The sequence below is a fragment of the Homo sapiens genome, chromosome 16 (genome assembly GCF_000001405.40).
Source record: "Homo sapiens chromosome 16, GRCh38.p14 Primary Assembly".
NCBI classification, from domain to species: Eukaryota; Metazoa; Chordata; class Mammalia; order Primates; family Hominidae; genus Homo; species Homo sapiens.
In genome coordinates, this window is record NC_000016.10 from 935,369 (window position 1) to 957,562 (window position 22,194).

Consider the following 22,194-nt stretch of genomic DNA (forward strand, 5'->3'; position numbering starts at 1 on the left):
ACAGGTGTGAACTGCCCCAGCCAGAATGTTTTCAACGTGGTGCTGATGGCTTCAGAGTCCATGAATATGTACGCTGACTTGTACACTTTATGTCAGGGTTGTCGGTTGTCCAATCTTGTGGCTTCCGTGGGCCACAATGGAAGAAGAAAAATTGTCTTGGGCCACACATAAAATATACTAACACTAGTGACAGCTGATGAGCTAAAAAAAAAAAAACTCATAATGTTTTAAGAAAGTTTATGAATTTGTGTTGGGTCTCATTCAAAGCCATCCTGAGCCGCGTGTGGACAAGCTTGCTTTAAATGCAGTTTTATGGTATGTGAATTCTATCTCACTAAAGACATTAAGGAGCAACGTTGCCTAATGAAATCCACAGGAATGAAAAGCTACAGGGTGTGGGACGGCCCTCAGGGCCCACTGCCCATCCCAGGGCTCCCTACATCGTCCGACCTTTGAATATGTCTGTGATTTTCCACCTTGACATTACGATAAAAGCACAGCAAAGGCCATGACAAACGACATCTGAGCCGTGGGGGAGGTGGGCGGGGACAGAGTACTGGAGGGCTCATTCTTCAACCGCATCAGGTGTGTGGCTGCCCCAGTGGCTCTGATATCTTTTTAAATCATCCCTTACCCGGTAGAGGTCCACACTATTTATAGGTAAAAGAGTACGAAGTCTAGATTTGCTTTTCACTCCAGAGGAAGAAGGCTGGGAGGGAGAGAGGGCACCCCGTTGGCTGAGGAAGGAGGCTGGGAGGGAGAGAGGGCACCCCGTGGGCTGAGGAAGGTGGCTGGGAGACAGAGGGGGCACCGTGTGGGCTGAGGAAGGAGGCTGGGAGAGAGGGGGTACCCCGTGGGCTGAGGAAGGAGGCTGGGAGGGAGAGAGGGCACCCCGTGGGCTGAGGAAGGAGGCTGGGAGGGAGAGAGGGCACCCCGTGGGCTGAGGAAGGTGGCTGGGAGAGAGAGGGGGCACCGTGTGGGCTGAGGAAGGAGGCTAGGAGAGAGGGGGTACCCCGTGGGCTGAGGAAGCAGGCTGGGAGGGAGAGAGGGCACCCCGTGGGCTGAGGAAGGAGGCTGGGAGGGAGGGAGGGCACCCCGTGGGCTGAGGAAGGTGGCTGGGAGAGAGAGGAGGCACCCTGTGGGCTCAGGAAGGAGGCTGGGAGAGAGGGGGTACCCCGTGGGCTGAGGAAGCTGGCTGGGAGGGAGAGAGGGCACCCCGTGGGCTGAGGAAGGAGGCTGGGAGGGAGAGAGGGCACTCTGTGGGCTGCAGGATACACTCCCTGCCCCCCTTTCCGTGACCAAAATCTTCCAAGCAACCGCTGTACACATTGGCTAATGCTAGAAATAAATTTACCCCCAAAATGTTCCCAATATATAACCTTAGTTGAACGGAGAAAGGAAAAGGAGCTGATTTTTCAAATCCATAGAGAATAAAAGCTTTGCTCTTTTATTAGCCAGGTGTGGTGGCGCACACCTGTAGTCCCAGTGACCTTGGGGCCGAGGCTGGAAGATGGCTTAAGCCCAGGAGTTCCAGGCTGCAGTGAGCCAAGATCGCGCTACTATTGCACTCCAGCCTGGGCGACAGGGCGGGAGATCCTAGCTAAAAAGACGCAGCCTCACGCTTTTATCAGAAGGGACCAAGGCCTGGAAGAGTTTCAGTGACTCAGGGCCACCAAAATACAAGCGTTGTGCAGAGAAGGGGTGAGTCCAGACGCAGCTGCCTTCACATCGGCTGAGGGTGTTCGAAAATGCATTCTTCTGTCACTTCACCTGCTTTGAATTTTGCATTTCAAGGCTGCCTGATAAAAGAATCTTTAAATAGCAGGTTTTAGCTAAGGTAATGACACGAAAAACTAAAACGTCTTATTACTTTCATAGCTTTTATTACATTTTCAACAGTTGGAACTCACGTTAGAAGATACCGACTCCGTGGAGTTCTTCTGGGTTTGTTCTGCTGTTTTGTTCTTTAAAGAAACTCAAGTCCTTTCCTGGACAGTGGGACGTAGATTTTGCTTTTGGATGGTCGGGGTTAACACGCTCCCTCTGACTGCCTAGTGAGGTCAGGAACCTGCTCCCCTGTGAGCCTCCACACCTGACTGACAGGCCGCTGGGGTCTCTGTTGACTGACAGGCTGCTGGGGTCTCTGTTGACCGACAGGCTGCTGGGGTCTCTGTTGACTGACAGGTCGTTGGGGTCTCTGTGCTAGGGAGGCAGCAAGACCCCCGATGCCCTGCAGATGCTGCACACGGCCCCAGCACAGGCCCTGCCCCTTGCACTGGATGGGGGCTCCCATTTCTATAGGAAGCTTTTGATTTAAAAACACATTTGGCTCCAGCTACTTATCATCTGTAAAAAGACTTCATGTATAAATATTTGTTAAATTTTATGCTCCCCATTTTGGGGCAGGCTAGTTGTAAATTTGTAAGAAATCTTCCAGTTTCTGGCCTAGTGCAAAGAACTTTGCTGGAGGCCTATCTAGAGTGTGTAGTAGGGACTTAATCATGAACCATGTCCTCCTGAACCACGCCCAGGTTCCTGACTTGTGTCTGCAGCTGATCCTGAACCACGCCCAGGTTCCTGACTTGTGTCTGCAGCTGATCCCACCATCAAGACTGAAGTCTTTGTCATGTGGTGAAGGCCAAACGTGGATTTATTTACAGAAGTTACCAAAAAAAAAATACCACAAAAAAAGAGGGGCGCCTTTGGGTGAGAGCAGCTGGGGGGCTTCCATGTCTACCCGCCTCGCAGGAGAGGGGGTGGAGCACCCACCAGACCACTGTGCCTCCCACTCAATCACGGAACGGGGTGCCAGCTAGCACTGGCAAGGCCGGGACGCTGGGTCCCGCTGTGCAGGGCCATGGCCTGCCTGGCACAGGGAAGCGCTAGACTGAACAGTGGCTTGTGGGGACGGCAGGGATGGGGCTGGACAGTGGCTTGCAGGGACAGGGCTGGATGGTGGCTCGCGGGGACAGCAGGGACGGGGCTGGACGGCGGCTCACAGGGAAGGCAGGGATGGGGCTGGACGGCGGCTCGCGGGGACAGCAGGGATGGGGCTGGATGGCAGCTCGTGGGGATGGCAGGGGTGGGGCTGGACCACACATACCAGTTCGGCAGTGCCAGTGAGGCAACTGGTTCACTGAAGACATGACTGCTGCCACCCTAATGTTTAAGTTCATACAACAGAGAAAATAAAATGGTAATAACAAGAGGTGTCTTTGCAAACATCTGTCGCCTGTTGCCTCTTACTGGAGCTGCCAAGAGGAAGTCCAGGTCCCAGGGCTGTTGGGAGGACCCGGGCTGTTGAAGCCAGGCAGCGCAGGGAGCACCAAGTGCATGTGTGGCTCCCACGGACAGATGGATGGATGGACAGACGAAGGGATGGATGGACAGTGCTCCCATTACTGTGTGAAAACCGACCTCAGAGTACATAGTCCATTCACTACAGGTAAGCAATTTAAAACAGGATGTAAATATGTAAATAGCCCTTAAAAGTGTAAGGAAAAAGTGCTGGAGGCCGTTTCGACAAAGCACCTAAGGCAGCAATGAAAATGGGGAAAGACGGGCAGACTGGACACAAGAGGAAACCTGTGCAGAAAGCAAAGTCCGTGCATACAGAATGGGATGCGGCCAAGGGGTTACACCTTCCACGTGCATTTACCTTCCCGGACAGCAGGGCCTCTTACAGATGGATAAACAAAGAACATTCACACCAAAGGGGAACGGCAAAGGCAAAACACAAATCCCCAGAGAAACAACAAGAGCAAAACCAAGAAAAATAACTTGGCAGAGAAATGCGTATTTAAATAACATTATTTTCACTTAAAAACTCTCAGTGGTTTTTCGGAAATGGGATGTTCTGAGTAGGGAACAGGACAACAGCACGCTGTCCCCGCCGTGAGCACGAACCCTGGGTGCAGGCTGGCGGCACCCGTCCACCACGCACACCCTGACCCAGCAGCCCACCTCAGGAGCTAGTTCACACAGTAAGTCACAGCCCTGCAAAATATCCCTGCGCCACAAAGCTGGCCACCGAGGTGCCACTTCCAGCAATAAAAACCAGGAACAACCAACGTGCCGGCCGGTGGGCTTGGCGCAATGAGCAAACACACGTAACAGACCACCCTGTGGCCACCACACGTGCCGCCGAGCAGCGGAGGTCCAGACGGGCGCGTGGCATCTGGGGCAATGACCAGTGCGTCGCTGAGACTGCCGGCGCCAGGCCTCGACCCTGCTGTGTCTGCGGCGACCCGGCCCACTCTCCACGCGGCCTCTGCCTCTGTCAGGAGCAGTACATGCTGACCAAAGCTGCTGTAAGACAACGTCGGCGAGATGGGAAGATACTTGTGATTTGACGGGAAGTAAAAAAACTTTGGTTATTTCCAATATTGTCATAAGGACCAGGTAATGAAAATTGTTTAAGAATTAAGTGACCAGACAGGGAATAAAACAGGGTGCGCAGTCTGAGCCCACCTTTATTAGAGAGAAGCCCTGGGCAGTGGGCTAAAAGGAGGCCCCCAGAAAGACCTGTCCACATCTTAATGCCTGCACCCTGTCTTATTTGGAAAAGGGGTCTCTGTGGAGGTAATTAAGTTAAGGATCTCGAGGTGAGGGCGTCCTGGACTATGTGATCACAGACGTCCTCATCAGAGAGACGTACCAGGAACCCTGAGACAGACCAAAGGGGAGGAGGCAAAGCGGCAGGGACCCGAGTGATACGTCCACAAGCCGGGGGTGCCCGGAGCCTCCAGGGGCTGGAAGAGACGAGGAAGGACCTTCCCGCAGAGACTCGGAGGGAAGGGAAGGTCCCTCCTCCCATAGAGACTTGGGTGGAACTGGCCCTGCCGACACCCTGATTTCGGACTTCTGGCCTCAAGAACTGTGGAAGAGTAAGTGTTTCTTGTTTGAAGCCTCCCCACGTGGTCACGGTCATGGCTGCAGAATGCCGCCATGCATCTCTCACAGGGCCATGGGAACTGGTTTGGACATATCTCCATTCCCTGTTGACCACCTAGAAACACAGGCTCACCCACCGGGGACCAGCATATCATGGAGGACAAGGCAGGTGGTGTGGGAGGGTCCTCCCCGCAGGCAGCGTCCTGCCTGGGACGACGACCACAGGAAACAGCTGGGAAACCCCAAAGAGGAACACCATTTATTTAAAGGAATGCATAACTTTAAAATATCAGTGTCATAAAAGATGGATGTCCCAGAAGAGACCAGACAACTAAACCCAACGCCGAACCCTATTCTGGAAAGTAAATGCTATAAGGATTATCCTTAGGTCAGATGACAAACTGGAAAATGAGTGGGAGACGCAGTCTCAGAACCGCAACCGTGTTAAACCTACTGCAGCTGATCCCTGCAGGAATGAAAAGAACACTCTTCTTAGGAAAAACACCCGGAAGTACTGCAGGGTAAAGGGATTCATCAATTATGTCAAAGTGGCCGATAGTGCCGTTCTGATCTTCTATGTCTTCTTTTTTTTGTTTGTTTAGTTGTTCTTTCAATTATTGAAAGAGTGATTGATGTTAAAATCTCCAAACAGAATTGTGAATTTGTGTATTTCTTCCTGGAGTTCTGCAATTTTTGCTTCATATATTGTGAGGTTCAGTATGTGGTGCCTTTATGTCTTTATGATCAATTAAGTCTTTTATTACCACAAAATGTCTCTGTACACCTCTGATAATACTCCGTGTCCTGAACTTTACTTTGTCTAAAGTTAATACAGCCACTCTAGCTTTCCAGTATATTTATGTAGTCTATCCTTCTTTATCTTTATCCTTCCTCTTTCAACTCATTTGTACCTTTATATTTAAAGCATAGCTCTTGAAAACTGCATATACTTGATACCTGATTTTTTTAAATTGATTTTTTTTTTTGCGACAGAGTCTCACTCTGTTGCCCAGGCTGGAGTGCAGTGGCTCACTGCAACCTCTGCCTCCTGGGTTCAAGTGACTCTCCCTGCCTCAGCCTCCTGAGTGGCTGGGACTACAGGCACGTGCAACTATGCCCGGGTAATTTTTGTATTTTTAGTAAAGATGAGGCTTCACCATGTTGGCCAGGCTGGTCTTGAACTCCTGATGACCTCAGGTGATCTGCCTGCCTTGGCCTCCCAAAGTGCTGGCATTACAGGTATGAGCCACCATGCCTGGCCTGATTCTAAATCTCTGTCTTTTAATTGGAAGATTTAGTCACTTACATTTAATGTAATCATTGATATGGCTCATTGGTTATTTTTTGTTTTCAGAGTCTCACCTGGTTTTTCGTCCTGTTCCTCTGTTCCTGCCTTCTTACTGGAAGCAAACATGTTTAACACTCCATTTCAATCACTCCATGGGCTCCTCAGCTACATATCTTTGCACTACTTTTAGTGATTGCCCTAGGGCTAACAGCAGGTATCTCACCTACTCACAACAGACCTGGGGTTAATATTTTCTCGCTTCACGTAGAATTTAGAGAGCCAGTGATGTTACAGATTCAGGAAGGATCCCCTCCCTCCTTTGTGCTAATGTTGTGTATATTACAGTATTACAGTTTTTGCCTTAGTTGTGTCTGTATTAAATTAAGAAAAAAAGAAATAGAGAACATTTCATATTTCCCTACCTTTACCATGTCCAGTGGATTTTACTCCTTTCTATAGATGACTTTCTGCCTAGCAATAATTCTTTCTGCCAAGCAATAATTCCTTCAGCCTGAAGATATTCCTTTAACATTTCTATAGTGTGTCTGCTGGCAAAGCCTTCTCTCAGTTTTCCGTTATCTGAAAATGTCTTTATTTTGCTTTTGTTTTTGAAGGATATTGTCACTGGATAGAACTCTGGGTTGACAATCGTTTTTCTTTAGAACTCTAAAGATGCCAGTCCATCATCCTCTGGCCTCCAGTGGTTATAAGAAGCCAGACATATTTGAATCTTTATTCTTTGAGTGTAACGTCTTTTTCCTTCCAGGTGCTATCTTTGTCTTTGGTATTCGGTAGTTTGACTACAATGTGCCCAGATAACATTTTCTCTTACTTTTACTGCTTACAGTGTGCTGAGCTTCTTGGATTTACACATTTATATCATTCAGCTATTATTTCTTTAAATACTTTTTATGCCCCATTTTCTGTGTCCTCTCTCTGTGGGGCTCCAATCACAAGTATGTTAGACCACCTGGTGCTATATGCCTCATTCTCTGTGTCCTCTCTCTGTGGGGCTCCAATCACACATATGTTAGCCCACCGGGTGCTACGTGCCCCATTCTCTGCGTCCTCTCTCTGTGGGGCTCCAATCACATGTATGTTAGACCACCTGGTGCTATTTGCCCCATTCTCTGTGTCCTCTCTCTGTGGGGCTCCAATCACATGTATGTTAGACCACCTAGTGCTATATGCCCCATTCTCTGTGTCCTCTCTCTGTGGGGCTCCAATCACATGTATGTTAGACCACCTGGTGCTATATGCCCCATTCTGTGTGTCCTCTCTCTGTGGGGCTCCAATCACAGGTATGTTAGACCACCTGGTGCTATCCCACATGTCACTGAAGCTCTGCTCGTTTCAATCTTTTTTCTGTTTGTTCTTTAGCTTGGATAATTTCTACAGATTTCTCTTAAAATTCATTGAGGCTATCTTCTACCCACCTCCAACCTGTTATTAAGCCCAGGCAACAGATTTTTCAGTACAGATACTGTACTTTTCAGTTCTAAAATGTCCAATTGACTCTTCTTTAAAGATTCAGAGTCTCGGCCGGGCACGGTGGCTCACGCCTGTAATCCCAGCACTTTGGGAGGCCGAGGCGGGTGGATCACAAGGTCAGGAGATCGAGACCATCCTGGCTAACACGGTGAAACCCTGTCTCTACTAAAAATACAAAAAATTAGCCAGGTGTGGTGGTGGGCGCCTGTAGTCCCAGCTACTCAGGAGGCTGAGGCAGGAGAATGGAGTGAACCCAGGAGGTGGAGCTTGCAGTGAGCCGAGATCGCGCCACTGCACTCCAGCCTGGGCGACAGAGCGAGACTCCATCTCAAAAAAAAAAAAAAAAAAAGATTCAGAGTCTCTGCTAAATTTCCCATGTGTTCATTCATTAAGACCACTACTAGGCTGGGTGTGGTAGTTCATGCCTGTAATCCCAGCACTTTGGGAGGCCGAGGCGGGCGGATCACCTGAGGTCAGGAGTTTGAGACCAGCCTGGCCAACAATGGTGAAACACCATTTCTATTAAAAATACAAAAATTAGCTGGGTGTGGTGGTGCACACCTATAATCCCAGCTACTTGGGAGGCTGAAGCAGGAAAATTGTTTGAACCTGCGAGGTGGAGGTTGAAGTGAGCCAAGATCTCACCACTGCACTCCAGCCTGGGGGACAGAATGAGACTCTGTCTCAAAAAAAAAAAAAAAAAAAAAAAAGAGGAATACTTCCCTTGAGTCCTGGTGTGTATCTGTAATGGCTGCCTCAAATCCTCTTTTCTACGTGTGCTATCTTGGCTATCATGGTCAGTTTCTTGTGACCCTTTTTTGTTTCCTGTATAGGGATCCTATTTTCCTGTTTCTTTACTTGTGTAGTAGTTTCTGATTCTAGTTGACATTATGAAAGATCATAACATCATTGAGAAGTTAATTTTGTCTGCTTCCTTTGGAGAGTGAATGAGTCTGTCTGGTAAGCAGCTGAGCTACTGGAGGATGAACTTGGTCTTTCCAAAAGCTCAGTTAGGGTCAGTCTAGAACAGCCCTTTTCTAGGGCGAGAGGAACCCTCCTCCTAAGATGTGGCCTTTCTGGGGGCATGCGCTGAGTGCCTAGGGTCTTATGCAAGTCACCTCTGGACCGGCTGATGGGGAGGCTTGTCTCCCAGCCAGCACTGTGGGACCCTCAGACTCACCACTAAGGTCACCACTCCCTACCTGCCACTTTCCACCAACCCTCAAAGACTCTACCCGCCACTTTCCACCAACCCTCAAAGACTCTCACTCTCCACGTTCACAGCTTAGAACAAACCCAAGGACTTAGTGGAATCCATGTAGCTTTCTGTGGTGATGTCTGTGTTAGCTCCTTTACTCTAATGCCTTGCCGCACAAATGCAAGCTGCCCTCAACTCTGATCCCTGCCTCCTGAGCTTGGAGACGCCTTGTGTTCTGCTGGGTGCCCTAGCTGTGGTGTACAAGGTGCTCAGGCAGAAGGCCGGGGCCACCAAGGCCACCCTGTATGTATCTCCTTTCCAGGGACAGCAGTCCTGGGCACCTGTGCCCTCTGGTATTTCACTTGCTGACGGTTTCATAGTGGGGAGGCTCGTCCTGCACCTGCCACTCTGCCATGGACGGGCATGGAGTCCATGAAGACAAATCTCTTATTTTAAAGTATTGTTTCAATGTGAGACGTCCTCTCCCTCAAACTGCCCCTGCCAGGCTTGCCCTGTCTACGGCCCCTCCTTGCTGCTTGCTGAAGTCTCGCCCTGTCTACGGCCCCAGTGCCCTAAACACCCCATCTCGTCTCAATTGTCATCCCTGCCCCTTTGGTGCACCTTGATGATTATGGGATGTACTCTTCGGAGTCAAAGAAATACATATCTCTTGTTAGGTTAAAAAAAATAGGGGGCTGGGCACCGTGGCTCATGCCTGTAATCCCAGCAGTTTGGGAGGCCAAGGCGGGTGGATCACTGGAGGTCAGGAGTTCGAGACCAGCCTGACCATGGTGAAACCCCATCTCTACTAAAAGTATAAAAATTGGCCAGGCGTGGTGGCAGATGCCTATAATCCCAGCTACTTGGGAGGCTAAGGTGGGAGAATCGCTTCAACCCAGGAAGTGGAGGCTGCAATGGACCGAGTTCGCACCACTGCACTCCAGCCTGGGCGACAAGAGCGAGACTCCATCTCAAAAAAAAAAAAAAAAAGGAAAATATTTGGCTGGGCACGGTGGCTCATGCCTGTAATCCTAGCACTTTGGGAGGCTGAGATAGGAGTATTGAACTTTGAGCCCAGGAGTTCAAGACCAGCCTGGGCAACATAGTGAGACATCCATCTCTACAAAAAATAAAAATATTAGCCAGGTGTGGTGCTGGGTGCCTGTAGTCCCAGCTATTTGGGAAGCTGAGCAGGTAGGATTGCTTGAGCCCAGGAGGTTGAGGCTGCAGTGGGCTGTGACTGTGTGACTGCATTCCAGTCTGGGTGACAGAGCAAGAGGCTGTCTCAAAAAAAAAAGAAAAAAGTTCAGCTGGCACTGGGTCAGAGTTAAAAAATTTAAAAAAGAAAAAATATCTGTTTAAAATGTGAAAGAGATTTAGGTTAAGAACGGAAAGGGTCACAATCTATTTGGATAACTAGAAGGCCTCGGCAGAAAGGGTCGGGAATCTATTTGGAGAAGTAGAAGGCATTGGCAGAAACGGTCAGGAATCTATTTGGAGAAGTAGAAGGTCTTGGCAGAAAGGGTTGGGAAACACATGTTACGTGGCTTCAAGGAATCCACTCACCTCTAGGAAATGAAGTAAGTCACGGTTCATACACCACAGCTACTGTGGAAGAAAGCTCTGGACGCAGGAGACTGGGTTGCCAAGTCCCCGCAGGACCAGAAAAGCCTCAGTACAAGGTGCAAAGACAGACTGTTCTCCCCCCGGCGTCCAGCTGCCTGAAATGTTTCTCTTGTTATGCAGCAATGATAGGAAACCCTCTGGAAACAGCTGACATGGACACCCCAAAACAAGCTAATGGTGGACACAGAGTTCACCCCAAAACAAGCTAATGGTGGACACAGAGTTCACCAAGAAGTCAATGCAGAGTCTCGGAGCTGGCTTCAGCTGTGGTTATCTGCAAATGACACATGGGACATGGGAGTTCTTTCGCCTTAGAAGTGGACCTGCAACCACAGGCCAGCCAGGGAGGGCAAGGTGCGGCGTCTGCCAGCCCCATGTGCCGCAGCAGCCACGAAGGGGAGGGGACAGCTGGCTGGCAGCGGATGTAGCCACTTGTGTGCTTTCCGAATTCACTGTATTGTTGCAAATCCCAGAAACCTCAGATCCCAACTCTGCCATTACAGCTCCAAGCAGGAGTGGAAGCCAGAAGGAAGCGCTTCTCCCAGCAAGTCCTAGAGAGGAGGGGGACAAGCCTCTGCAGAAGGCACCCACGGCCACGCTGTCCTGTGGCCTCCTATCCAGGGCAGGGTGTCCGCTAAGGCAACTGATCCAAGGCCAGAAGAGGCCTTTTACAGTGTGAGGCCCGGACAGTCCTGGTCTTCCTGCTGAGGCTATGGCAGACTTTTAGAGCAGACTGGAAAGGTGAGTGCTCACAGGCCCCTCTCGTGGGAGTTCCCGTCTACAGGTATGCTGTTCGGAAGGTGGGCTTAACAGAGAACGTTCACAGGTCCAACCTCAAGCCAAACAACATGGGCTCAGTCACCTACATGGCCCATGCCCTGCCATGGATTCCTCTGCCTCTCAAGGGACCTCACGTGCCCTGGTGGGCCTGACCAAGCTGAAGTCAGGGCACCCCCTCCTCAGTGTCCACGGTGCCAAGCAGGGGCTCAGCAAGTATCTGCCAGCTGTGTAAATGACCCGATGACAGTTGCACCAGCAGACACACACAGGCTCCCATATGAGAGACGCTCACCCACCTGCCAGGCTCTGGAGACTAATCCCCGTCTAGCCAGGAAGGTAACTCTGTTGTTTCAGAGGTCAGCTCACAGGCAGGACTGAGTGCTAGGCAGGAGTCAGATATCACAGACAAAGACACCCAGCACACAGCAACAGGATCAGGCTTTTCCCACGCCATTTGAAAGGAGGACACGACCATGACCCGGCTGACAGAAGAGACGCCCAGGGTGGGCTCTCTGAGTGCCTGGCCTTGTGTGGCAACTGCCACCCCTCCCACCACGGGGTCCCTGAACCTTGTGAAATGAAAAGGACGTCACTTTTACCATCAAATATGTCTACGCCTTGTCAAATCCCTTCCCATGCATTAACACAGAGACAGAGGCTGCAGCCCAGCCAGGGAGGGCCCCACCCACCCAGTTGGGGCTACGCAGAGGCAGGTGGTGGAAAAGGTGTTGCAGGTACTTGTGGAACCTCCTTACATTGAAGTCCTGGAGCCCAAACATGCTGTTCATCGTCAGTGAGAAATGAAGCACCGAGGGCGGTGTCCCTGGGTGCTGGCGGCCTCCCAGCGTCCCCTCCAGCCCTGGCGCTGCTCTCAGTACTCTTTGAAGTGGAGCCACCATCCGTCCTGCCCAGGAAGGAAGCTCCAAGGGCAGCTCCCGCCACAGGAAGGAGGACCCCTGAGGTGTCCTGACTTTGGTCCAAGTTTCTGGAGAGGATCTTTCCTTCCTTCTGGGGTCGAGACAGTGGGGAAGGGATGGCGGTGCTGCCGTGCTGAAGAGCAGCAAAGCAGCCTGCAGGGCCACTGCCAAAGCCAAGCGCGGATGACAGTCAGAGCCAACGAGAGAGTCAGAGCCAACGACAGAGTCAGCCAATGACAGAGTCAGAGACAACGACAGAGTCAGCCAATGACAGAGTCAGCCAACGACAGAGTTAGAGACAATGACAGAGTCAGCCAACGACAGAGTTAGAGACAATGACAGAGTCAGCCAACGACAGAGTCAGCCAACGACAGAGTCAGCCAATGACAGAGTCAGAGCCAACGACAGAGTCAGCCAATGACAGAGTCAGAGCCAACGACAGAGTCAGCCAACGACAGAGTCAGAGACAACGACAGAGTCAGCCAATGACAGAGTCAGCCAACGACAGACTTAGAGACAACGAGAGAGTCAGCCAACGACAGAGTCAGCCAACGACAGTCAGCCAACGACAAAGTCAGCCAACGACAGAGTCAGAGCCAACGACAGAGTCAGCCAACGACAGAGTCAGAGACAACGACAGAGTCAGCCAATGACAGAGTCAGAGACAATGACAGAGTTACAGAAAATGACAGAGTCAGCCAACGACAGAGTCAGCCAACGACAGAGTCAGAGCCAACGACAGAGTCAGCCAACGACAGAGTCAGAGACAACGACAGAGTCAGAGCCAATGACAGAGTCAGAGCCAACGACAGAGTCAGAGCCAACGTCAGAGTCAGCCAACGACAGAGTCAAAGCCAACGACAGAGTCAGCCAACGACAGAGTCAGAGACAACGACAGAGTCAGAGACAATGACAGAGTCAGAGCCAATGACAGAGTCAGCCAACGACAGAGTCAGAGCCAACGACAGAGTCAGCCAATGACAGAGTCAGACACAGCGACAGAGTTAGAGACAACGACAGAGTCAGCCAACGACAGAATCAAAGACAATGACAGAGTCAGCCAACGACAGAATCAGAGACAACGACAGAGTCAGCCAACGACAGAATCAGAGACAATGACAGAGTCAGCCAACGACAGAATCAGAGACAACGACAGAGTCAGCCAATGACAGAGTCAGAGACGACAGAGTCAGAGCCAACGACAGAGTCAGCCAACGACAGAGTCAGAGCCAACGACAGAGTCAGCCAACGACAGAGTCAGCCAACGACAGAGTCAGAGCCAACGACAGAGTCAGCCAACGACAGAGTCAGAGCCAATGACAGAGTCAGCCAACGACAGAGTCAGCCAACGACAGAGTCAGCCAACGACAGAGTCAGAGCCAAGGACAGAGTCAGAGCCAACGACAGAGTCAGTCAACGACAGAGTCAGCCAACGACAGAGTCAGAGCCAACGACAGAGTCAGTCAATGACAGAGTCAGCCAACGACAGAGTCAGAGCCAACGACAGAGTCAGCCAACGACAGAGTCAGAGACAATGACAGAGCCAGCCAATGACAGAGTCAGCCAACGACAGAGTTAGAGACAATGACAGAGTCAGCCAACGACAGAGTCAGCCAACGACAGAGTCAGCCAATGACAGTCAGCCAACGACAGAGTCAGCCAACAACAGAGTCAGAGCCAACAACAGAGTCAGCCAACGACAGAGTCAGAGACAACGACAGAGTCAGCCAATGACAGAGTCAGAGACAACGACAGAGTCAGCCAACGACAGAGTCAGCCAACGACAGAGTCAGAGACAATGACAGAGTCAGCCAATGACAGAGTCAGAGACAACGACAGAGTCAGCCAACAACAGTCAGCCAACGACAGAGTCAGGCCAACGACAGAGTCAGCCAATGACAGAGTCAGAGCCAACGACAGAGTCAGAGACAACGACAGAGTTAGAGACAATGACAGAGTCAGCCAACGACAGAGTCAGAGCCAACGACAGAGTCAGAGACAATGACAGAGTCAGAGACAACGACAGAGTCAGAGACGACAGAGTCAGAGACGACAGAGTCAGAGCCAATGACAGAGTCAGCCAATGACAGAGTCAGAGCCAACGACAGAGTCAGCCAATGACAGAGTCAGAGACAACGACAGAGTCAGAGACAACGACAGAGTCAGAGACGACAGAGTCAGAGACGACAGAGTCAGAGCCAATGACAGAGTCAGCCAATGACAGAGTCAGAGCCAACGACAGAGTCAGCCAATGACAGAGTCAGAGACAACGACAGAGTTAGAGACAACGACAGAGTCAGCCAAGGACAGCGTCAGCCAACGACAGAATCAGAGACAACGACAGAGTCAGCCAACGACAGAGTCAGAGCCAATGAGAGTCAGAGCCAACGACAGAGTCAGAGACGACAGAGTCAGAGCCAACGACAGAGTCAGCCAACGACAGAGTCAGAGCCAACGACAGAGTCAGCCAACGACAGAGTCAGAGCCAACGACAGAGTCAGCCAACGACAGAGTCAGAGACAACGACAGAGTCAGAGCCAACGACAGAGTCAGAGACGAAAGACTCAGAGCCAATGACAGAGTCAGAGCCAATGACAGAGTCAGCCAACGACAGAGTCAGAGCCAACGACAGAGTCAGCCAATGACAGAGTCAGAGACAGCGACAGAGTTAGAGACAATGACAGAGTCAGCCAACGACAGAGTCAGCCAACGACAGAGTCAGAGACAATGACAAAGTCAGCCAATGACAGAGTCAGAGACAACGACAGAGTCAGCCAACAACAGTCAGCCAACGACAGAGTCAGGCCAACGACAGAGTCAGCCAATGACAGAGTCAGAGCCAACGACAGAGTCAGAGACAACGACAGAGTTAGAGACAACGACAGAGTCAGCCAACGACAGAGTCAGCCAACGACAGAGTCAGAGCCAACGACAGAGTCAGAGATGACAGAGTCAGAGACGACAGAGTCAGAGCCAATGACAGAGTCAGCCAATGACAGAGTCAGAGCCAACGACAGAGTCAGCCAATGACAGAGTCAGAGACAACGACAGAGTTAGAGACAACGACAGAGTCAGCCAAGGACAGAGTCAGCCAACGACAGAATCAGAGACAATGACAGAGTCAGCCAACGACAGAGTCAGAGCCAATGACAGAGTCAGAGCCAACGACAGAGTCAGAGACGACAGAGTCAGAGCCAACGACAGAGTCAGAGCCAACGACAGAGTCAGCCAATGACAGAGTCAGACGACAGAGTCAGCCAACGACAGAGTCAGCCAATGACAGAGTCAGAGCCAACGACAGAGTCAGCCAAGGACGGAGTCAGAGCCAACGACAGAGTCAGAGCCAACGACAGAGTCAGCCAATGACAGAGTCAGCCAATGACAGAGTCAGAGCCAACGACAGAATCAGCCAACAACAGTCAGCCAATGACAGAGTCAGCCAATGACAGAGTCAGCCAACGACAGAGTCAGAGCCAATGACAGAGTCAGCCAATGACAGAGTCAGCCGACAGAGTCAGCCAACGACAGAGTCAGAGCCAATGACAGAGTCAGCCAATGACAGAGTCAGCCGACAGAGTCAGCCAACGACAGAGTCAGAGCCAACGACAGAGTCAGCCAACAACAGTCAGCCAACGACAGAGTCAGCCAATGACAGAGTCAGCTGACAGAGTCAGCCAACGACAGAGTCAGCCAACGACAGAGTCAGAGCCAACGACAGAGTCAGCCAAGGACAGAGTCAGAGCCAATGACAGAGTCAGAGACAACGACAAAGTCAGAGACAACGACAGAGTCAGAGCCAACGATGGAGTCAGAGCCAATGTTCTGGAAAAGCTGAAGCGACTTCAGATACTATAGCAGATGCTGTGCTCAGGGCTCCAGCGTCCTGCAAGGCTGCGTGGCTTTATGTAACAGGAAGGCCAGCTCTGAGCAGAGTCAGAGTCCTCTCTAAAATCACTTAGAGTTTTATGCAACAATTATTAAGCTGTGGCTCTCTCCGTCATAAATGTTGCCAAACCCCCAGATGTTTAAATTTCTAGACCAAGAAGACAGACCCCCAAAGTACCAAAACAAAAACGTGCAAGTCCACGCTGCGACAAACCACGCTCAGGTGAACGATAAATGGGGAGCAGAGAGAAGCCTCCCACGCAGGTGGGCTCATGACTCCTGCAGACCCCCAGAGGCGGCGGAACCTCACACCTCCAGTGAAGACTGCAGAGCGACGTCCTCACCAAGAGCATGTGGTGAAGGGAGAAAAAGCCACTTCACCGTCCAGACACTCAACAAGCACAGCCCCCACCAGGCCACCGTCAGCAGAGACAGCTCATGTGAACGTGATGTGCGGGGGAGGTGCGTCACAGGGCCTGGGGCATCGGGGGCAAACCACAAACAGCCACAAGCATTGCACGTGGCCCCAGGCCTGCAGACTCCCGTGAGAGCGCCTGACCCCAGCACACCACTTCAGCCTGTGCTGACAGCTCATGGGCGCCTCGGCAAAGTCAGGCATGTGTGCGTGGAGGGGTCCTGGGGCGGAGCCACGTTGTGGGTGCCCAAGGCATCCCCAGGCCTCCTGCCCTGCCCTGGTGACACTGTCTGGCCTGCTTGTTGAATGAGGTGACACACTCAAGTGTAGCTGAGACCTGAGGAAACACCAGCAACTGGACCTGGCAGCGGTGCCCACCCCAGCAACAGCCACACAGTGGGGACCCCCCTTACAAGTGCCCACTCCAGCACAGCCACAAAGTGGGGACCCCCCCCCACAGGTGCCCTGATGCCAGCTGCAGCCCTCCCTGCATGAGCCTGCAGGGCCTGGGCTGTGCCACCAAGCCCAGATCAGAGCAATCTGAGCCTCCGACCAGGGAACACCGGAGCCACAGGCGCTGTGCTGGAGGCAGAGCATTCAGGCTCCCGGAAGTGCACGTGGCCCCAGACACTCCAACCTCAACTCAGCCGCCCTGACCAGGATGGAAAACACAGGCTCCACAGCCCAAGGCTGCGCCCTGCCCGCACCAACTCACCACCACAGCCTTCCATCCTGGGACAGGGTCCTGGTTCCGACCACTCAGCCCTGAGCCAGCTGCCTCCTGTCTCCCGTCCACGAAAGACACAAGAGCCATCCTCAGTCTCCATGCAAAGCCCAGCTGTCCCATTGAGGGCGGAACCAAGCTGGGCATGCAAGAGCCAGCGCATCCCCAGCTTCCTACACATCCACACAGACACCCACCCCAAACCAGCCTCCTACATGTCCACACAGACACCCACCCCAAACCAGCCTCCTACACGTCCACACAGACACCCACCCCAAACCAGCCTCCTACACATCCACACAGACACCCACCCCAAACCAGCCTCCTACACGTCCACACAGACACCCACCCCAAACCAGCCTCCTGCACGTCCACACAGACACCCCAAACCAGCCTCCTACATATCCACACAGACACCCCAAACCAGCCTCCTACATATCCACACAGACACCCCAAACCAGCCTCCTACACGTCCACACAGACACCCACTCCAAACCAGCCTCCTACACGTCCACACAGACACCCCAAACCAGCCTCCTACATATCCACACAGACACCCACCCCAAACCAGCCTCCTGCACGTCCACACAGACACCCCAAACCAGCCTCCTACATGTCCACACAGACACCCACCCCAAACCAGCCTCCTACATGTCCACACAGACACCCACCCCAAACCAGCCTCCTACACGTCCACACAGACACCCCAAACCAGCCTCCTACACGTCCACACAGACACCCACCCCAAACCAGCTTCCTACACGTTCACACAGACACGGACCCCAAACCAGCCTCCTACACGTCCACACAGACACCCACCCCAAACCAGCCTCCTACACGTTCACACAGACACGGACCCCACACCAGCCTCCTACACGTCCACACAGACACCCACCCCAAACCAGCCTCCTGCACGTCCACACAGACACCCCAAACCAGCCTCCTACATATCCACACAGACACCCCAAACCAGCCTCCTACATATCCACACAGACACCCCAAACCAGCCTCCTACACGTCCACACAGACACCCACTCCAAACCAGCCTCCTACACGTCCACACAGACACCCCAAACCAGCCTCCTACATGTCCACACAGACACCCACCCCAAACCAGCCTCCTACATGTCCACACAGACACCCACCCCAAACCAGCCTCCTACATGTCCACACAGACACCCACCCCAAACCAGCCTCCTACATGTCCACACAGACACCCACCCCAAACCAGCCTCCTACATGTCCACACAGACACCCACCCCAAACCAGCCTCCTACACGTCCACACAGACACCCCAAACCAGCCTCCTACACGTCCACACAGACACCCACCCCAAACCAGCTTCCTACACGTCCACACAGACACCCACCCCAAACCAGCCTCCTACATGTCCACACAGACACCCCAAACCAGCCTCCTACACGTCCACACAGACACCCACCCCAAACCAGCCTCCTACACGTCCACACAGACACAGACCCACTGCTTCTGCCTCCCTTTCCCCATCCCTCTGGCTCCAGTAAGCTGGCAACGCAGTCCTTTAAGTAAGGAAGAGCTACTGCAAAGAGGTGGGGTTTTAATCCTGAAGATGGGTGGCTGCTGTGGCTGGTGCACTGGCCGCTCTGCCATGGCCTAAGTAAAATGACAATACCCTCCTGAAGGAATTTAAGATAAACGCTCGTCCAGTCTTTCCAAGTGCCAGGACACCTGCAGTGCCTGTGCTGAGTGACAGCAAGCCCTAAGCTCCGACCGCCCCATTCCTGCTACTCACCAGACATGGCCCACATTAACCAGGGACATGTAGAGGCCCCACAGGGCAGCCATGAGAAGCATGTTGGCGCAGCCCGTGATCAGTACGAAAGACGAGATGCCCAGTCCGAGAAGAGCCAGCAAGTCCAGGTTGGAGTTCATGTCTGACCAGTCCATCAGCCAGAGGATGGTGGGCATGTAGCTGAAGACTTCCCAGCTCGTCCTGTCCTGGAAGTACTGCTGGAAGTTCTTCAGGAACACTCTGCAGGGAAGCAGCCCCCTGTCACCGATGAGCTGCTTGTTCTGATGGAAAGCCACCAGGAATGCCACGACTGGAAGAAAAAGAAGACAAAACAAGCATGACTAGGAACAAACCACATGTGGACACCATGGGCGCAGCTCAGAATGCGGGGCGAGGCAGGCGGGAAGGGGAGGCAGAGTCTGGCTGACGGTTTGGGGCCAAACCCTAGACTCAGGAGTCTGAGTACTTTCTCAAGATTTTGGGGGAAACACTGGAAAAGCCAACCTGCAGCAGACGCGGTGTGTGCATACACGCATACACATCTAAGTGAACTAGACACGTTACATAAAATGCGTGCCCGCAGCAGACGCGGTGTGTGCATCCACACACACACATATCTAAGTGAACCAGACACGTTACATAAAATGCGTGCCTGCAGCAGATGCGGTGTGTGCATACACACACACACATCTAAGTAAACTAGACACGTTACATAAAATGCGTGCCCGCAGCAGACGCGGTGTGTGCACACACACACACACATCTAAGTAAACTAGACAAGTTACATAAAATGCGTGCCTGCAGCAGACGCAGTGTGTGCATACACACACACACATCTAAGTAAACTAGACAAGTTACATAAAAGGCGTGCCTGCAGCAGACGTGGTGTGTGCATACACACACACACATCTAAGTAAACTAGACAAGTTACATAAAAGGCGTGCCTGCAGCAGACGCGGTGTGTGCATACACACACACACATCTAAGTGAACCCGACCCGTTACATAAAATGCGTGCCCGCAGCAGACGCGGTGTGTGCATACACGCACACACATGTAAGTGAACCAGACACGTTACATAAAATGCGTGCCTGCAGCAGACGCGGTGTGTGCATACACACACACACACATCTAAGTAAACTAGACACGTTACATAAAATGCGTGCCCGCAGCAGACGCAGTGTGTGCATACACGCACACACATCTAAGTGAACCAGACACGTTACATAAAATGGGTGCCTGCAGCAGACGCAGTGTGTGCATCCACGCATACGCATAGAAGCAAACTAGATGCTTGTATATAAATTCCGTGTCTGCAGCAGATGCAGTGTGTATACACGCACACACATAGAAGTAAAGTAGACATGTGTATATAAATTGCGTGCCTGGCTACACACAGACAGCCAGCTGACCAACCGGACTGCACTCAGCATTCACCATTATGAAACACACCCTGAGGACCCTGGCTCTGGTCAACGGCATCACTCCCAGCACACGCTGCAGGGCTTGACACTTACTGCCTATAGGTGAGCCACACTTGCCCTCTACGCAGACCACAGGTCTCCGAGTTCACGTCTCACGGCGCCCACCCCACGACGGCTCTCTCACATCCACAGGTCTCCGAGTTCACGTCTCACGGCGCCCACCCCACGACGGCTCTCTCACATCCACAGGTCTCTGAGTTCACGTCTCACGGCGCCCACCGCACGACGGCTCTCTCACATCCACAGGTCTCCGAGTTCATGTCTCACGGCGCCCACCCCACAATGGCACTGTCACATCCACAGGTCTCCGAGTTCATGTCTCACGGCGCCCACCCCACGACGGCTCTCTCACATCCACAGGTCTCCGAGTTCACGTCCCACGGCGCCCACCCCACGACGGCTCTCTCACATCCACAGGTCTCCGAGTTCATGTCCCACGGCGCCCACCCACAACAGCTCTCTCACATCCTCTGGACGTCAGTATTTGTAGAACACTGAATGCTTACCCAGAGATGCTGACAGGTGAGAGAAGCACATTCCCATGTGTAAACGTGAAGAATGAAAAAGCAGTTGAAAGTAAAAAAGATACACCATTCAAATGTGAATCAAAAGAAAGCTGGATCTAATTCATCATGGCTGAAAAAAATTAAAAATAAAAATAAAAAATACAAACAAAAGAAAGTGGAAGTGGCTCTATTAACATCATAAAAAGTAGATTTAAGGGCTGGGCAGGGTGGCTCACGCCTGTAATCCCAGCACTTTGGGAGGCCAAGGCAGGCGGATCACCTGAGATCAGGAGTTTGAGACCAGCCTGGGCAACATGGAAAAACCCTGTCTCTACTAAAAATACAAAAATTAGCTGGGCGTTGTGGCAGGCACCTGTAATCCAAGCTACTCAGGAGGCTGAGGCAGGAGAATGGCTTGAACCTGGGAGGTGGAGGGTGCAGTGAGCCAAGATTGCGCCACTGCACTCCAGCCTGGACGACAAGAGCAAAACTCCATCTCAAAAAAAAAAAAAAAAAGTAGATTTAAGGGTCGGGCACGGTGGCTCACGCCTGTAATTCCAGCACTTTGGGAGGCTGAGGCGGGTGGATCACCTGAGGTCAGGAGTTTGGGACCAGCCTGGCCAATATGGCAAAACCCTGTCTCTACTTAAAAAATACAAAAATTAGTCGGATGTGGTGGTGCACCCCGGTAGTCCCACCTACTTGGGAGGCTGAGGCAGGAGAATCACTTGAACCCGGGAGGCTGCAGTGAGCCGAGATGGCACCATTGCACTCCAGCCTGGGCAACAGAGACTCCATCTCAAAAGGAAAAAAATCAATTTACAAACAAGGAATGACACAGGGATGAAAGAAGATATTGCATAATGATAACAATATCACAAGAGCAACCCCACAAGTACATGCGGCTTCCTACTGCGTGTAGGAATCTGGCTTGGGGTCCATGTCTGTGTAACTGTGCATGCTGGTTTGGAGTGAGTGTCTGTGTAGACATGTAGGAAGCTAGTACATGTACTTTTCCCCATGCATTTATAAATCTAAAAACATATAAACGGAATCTGCACATGGAAAACTACAAAACACTGATTAAAAAAATGAAACAAGATCTAACTATATGAAGAGATAGACCATGTTCATGGATTGGAAAAATCAAAATCATTAAGGTGTCAATTTGATCCATAAATTCGGCACAATCTGAACCAAACACCCAGTCAGTGCTT

The 22,194-nt window shown here is 51.8% G+C and overlaps 1 protein-coding gene across 7 annotated transcripts in view, besides 1 other annotated feature; it reads right to left on the reverse strand.

The window, feature by feature from the left end:
- The window catches only part of LMF1 (lipase maturation factor 1), a 127,980-nt gene that overhangs the window by 81,735 nt on the left and 24,051 nt on the right, over positions 1-22,194 (reverse strand). For all 7 annotated transcript variants that reach the window (NR_147885.2, NM_001352019.2, NM_001352017.2 and 4 more), the window contains exon 2: positions 18,989-19,298. Coding sequence is in view for 3 of the 7 variants with exons in the window: in NM_001352020.1 (NP_001338949.1) it covers positions 18,989-19,298 (310 nt within the window). In the remaining 4 variants the exon portion in view is untranslated. The remainder of the gene's footprint in view (positions 1-18,988; positions 19,299-22,194) is intronic.
- Positions 11,851-12,828: an enhancer, noted in NCBI's record as "H3K4me1 hESC enhancer chr16:997219-998196 (GRCh37/hg19 assembly coordinates)". NCBI's record gives its function as "activates a minimal SCP1, AML or CMV promoter by ChIP-STARR-seq in naive H9 embryonic stem cells {active_cell/tissue: H9 hESC(naive)}" and the evidence as "EXISTENCE:reporter gene assay evidence [ECO:0000049][PMID:30033119]".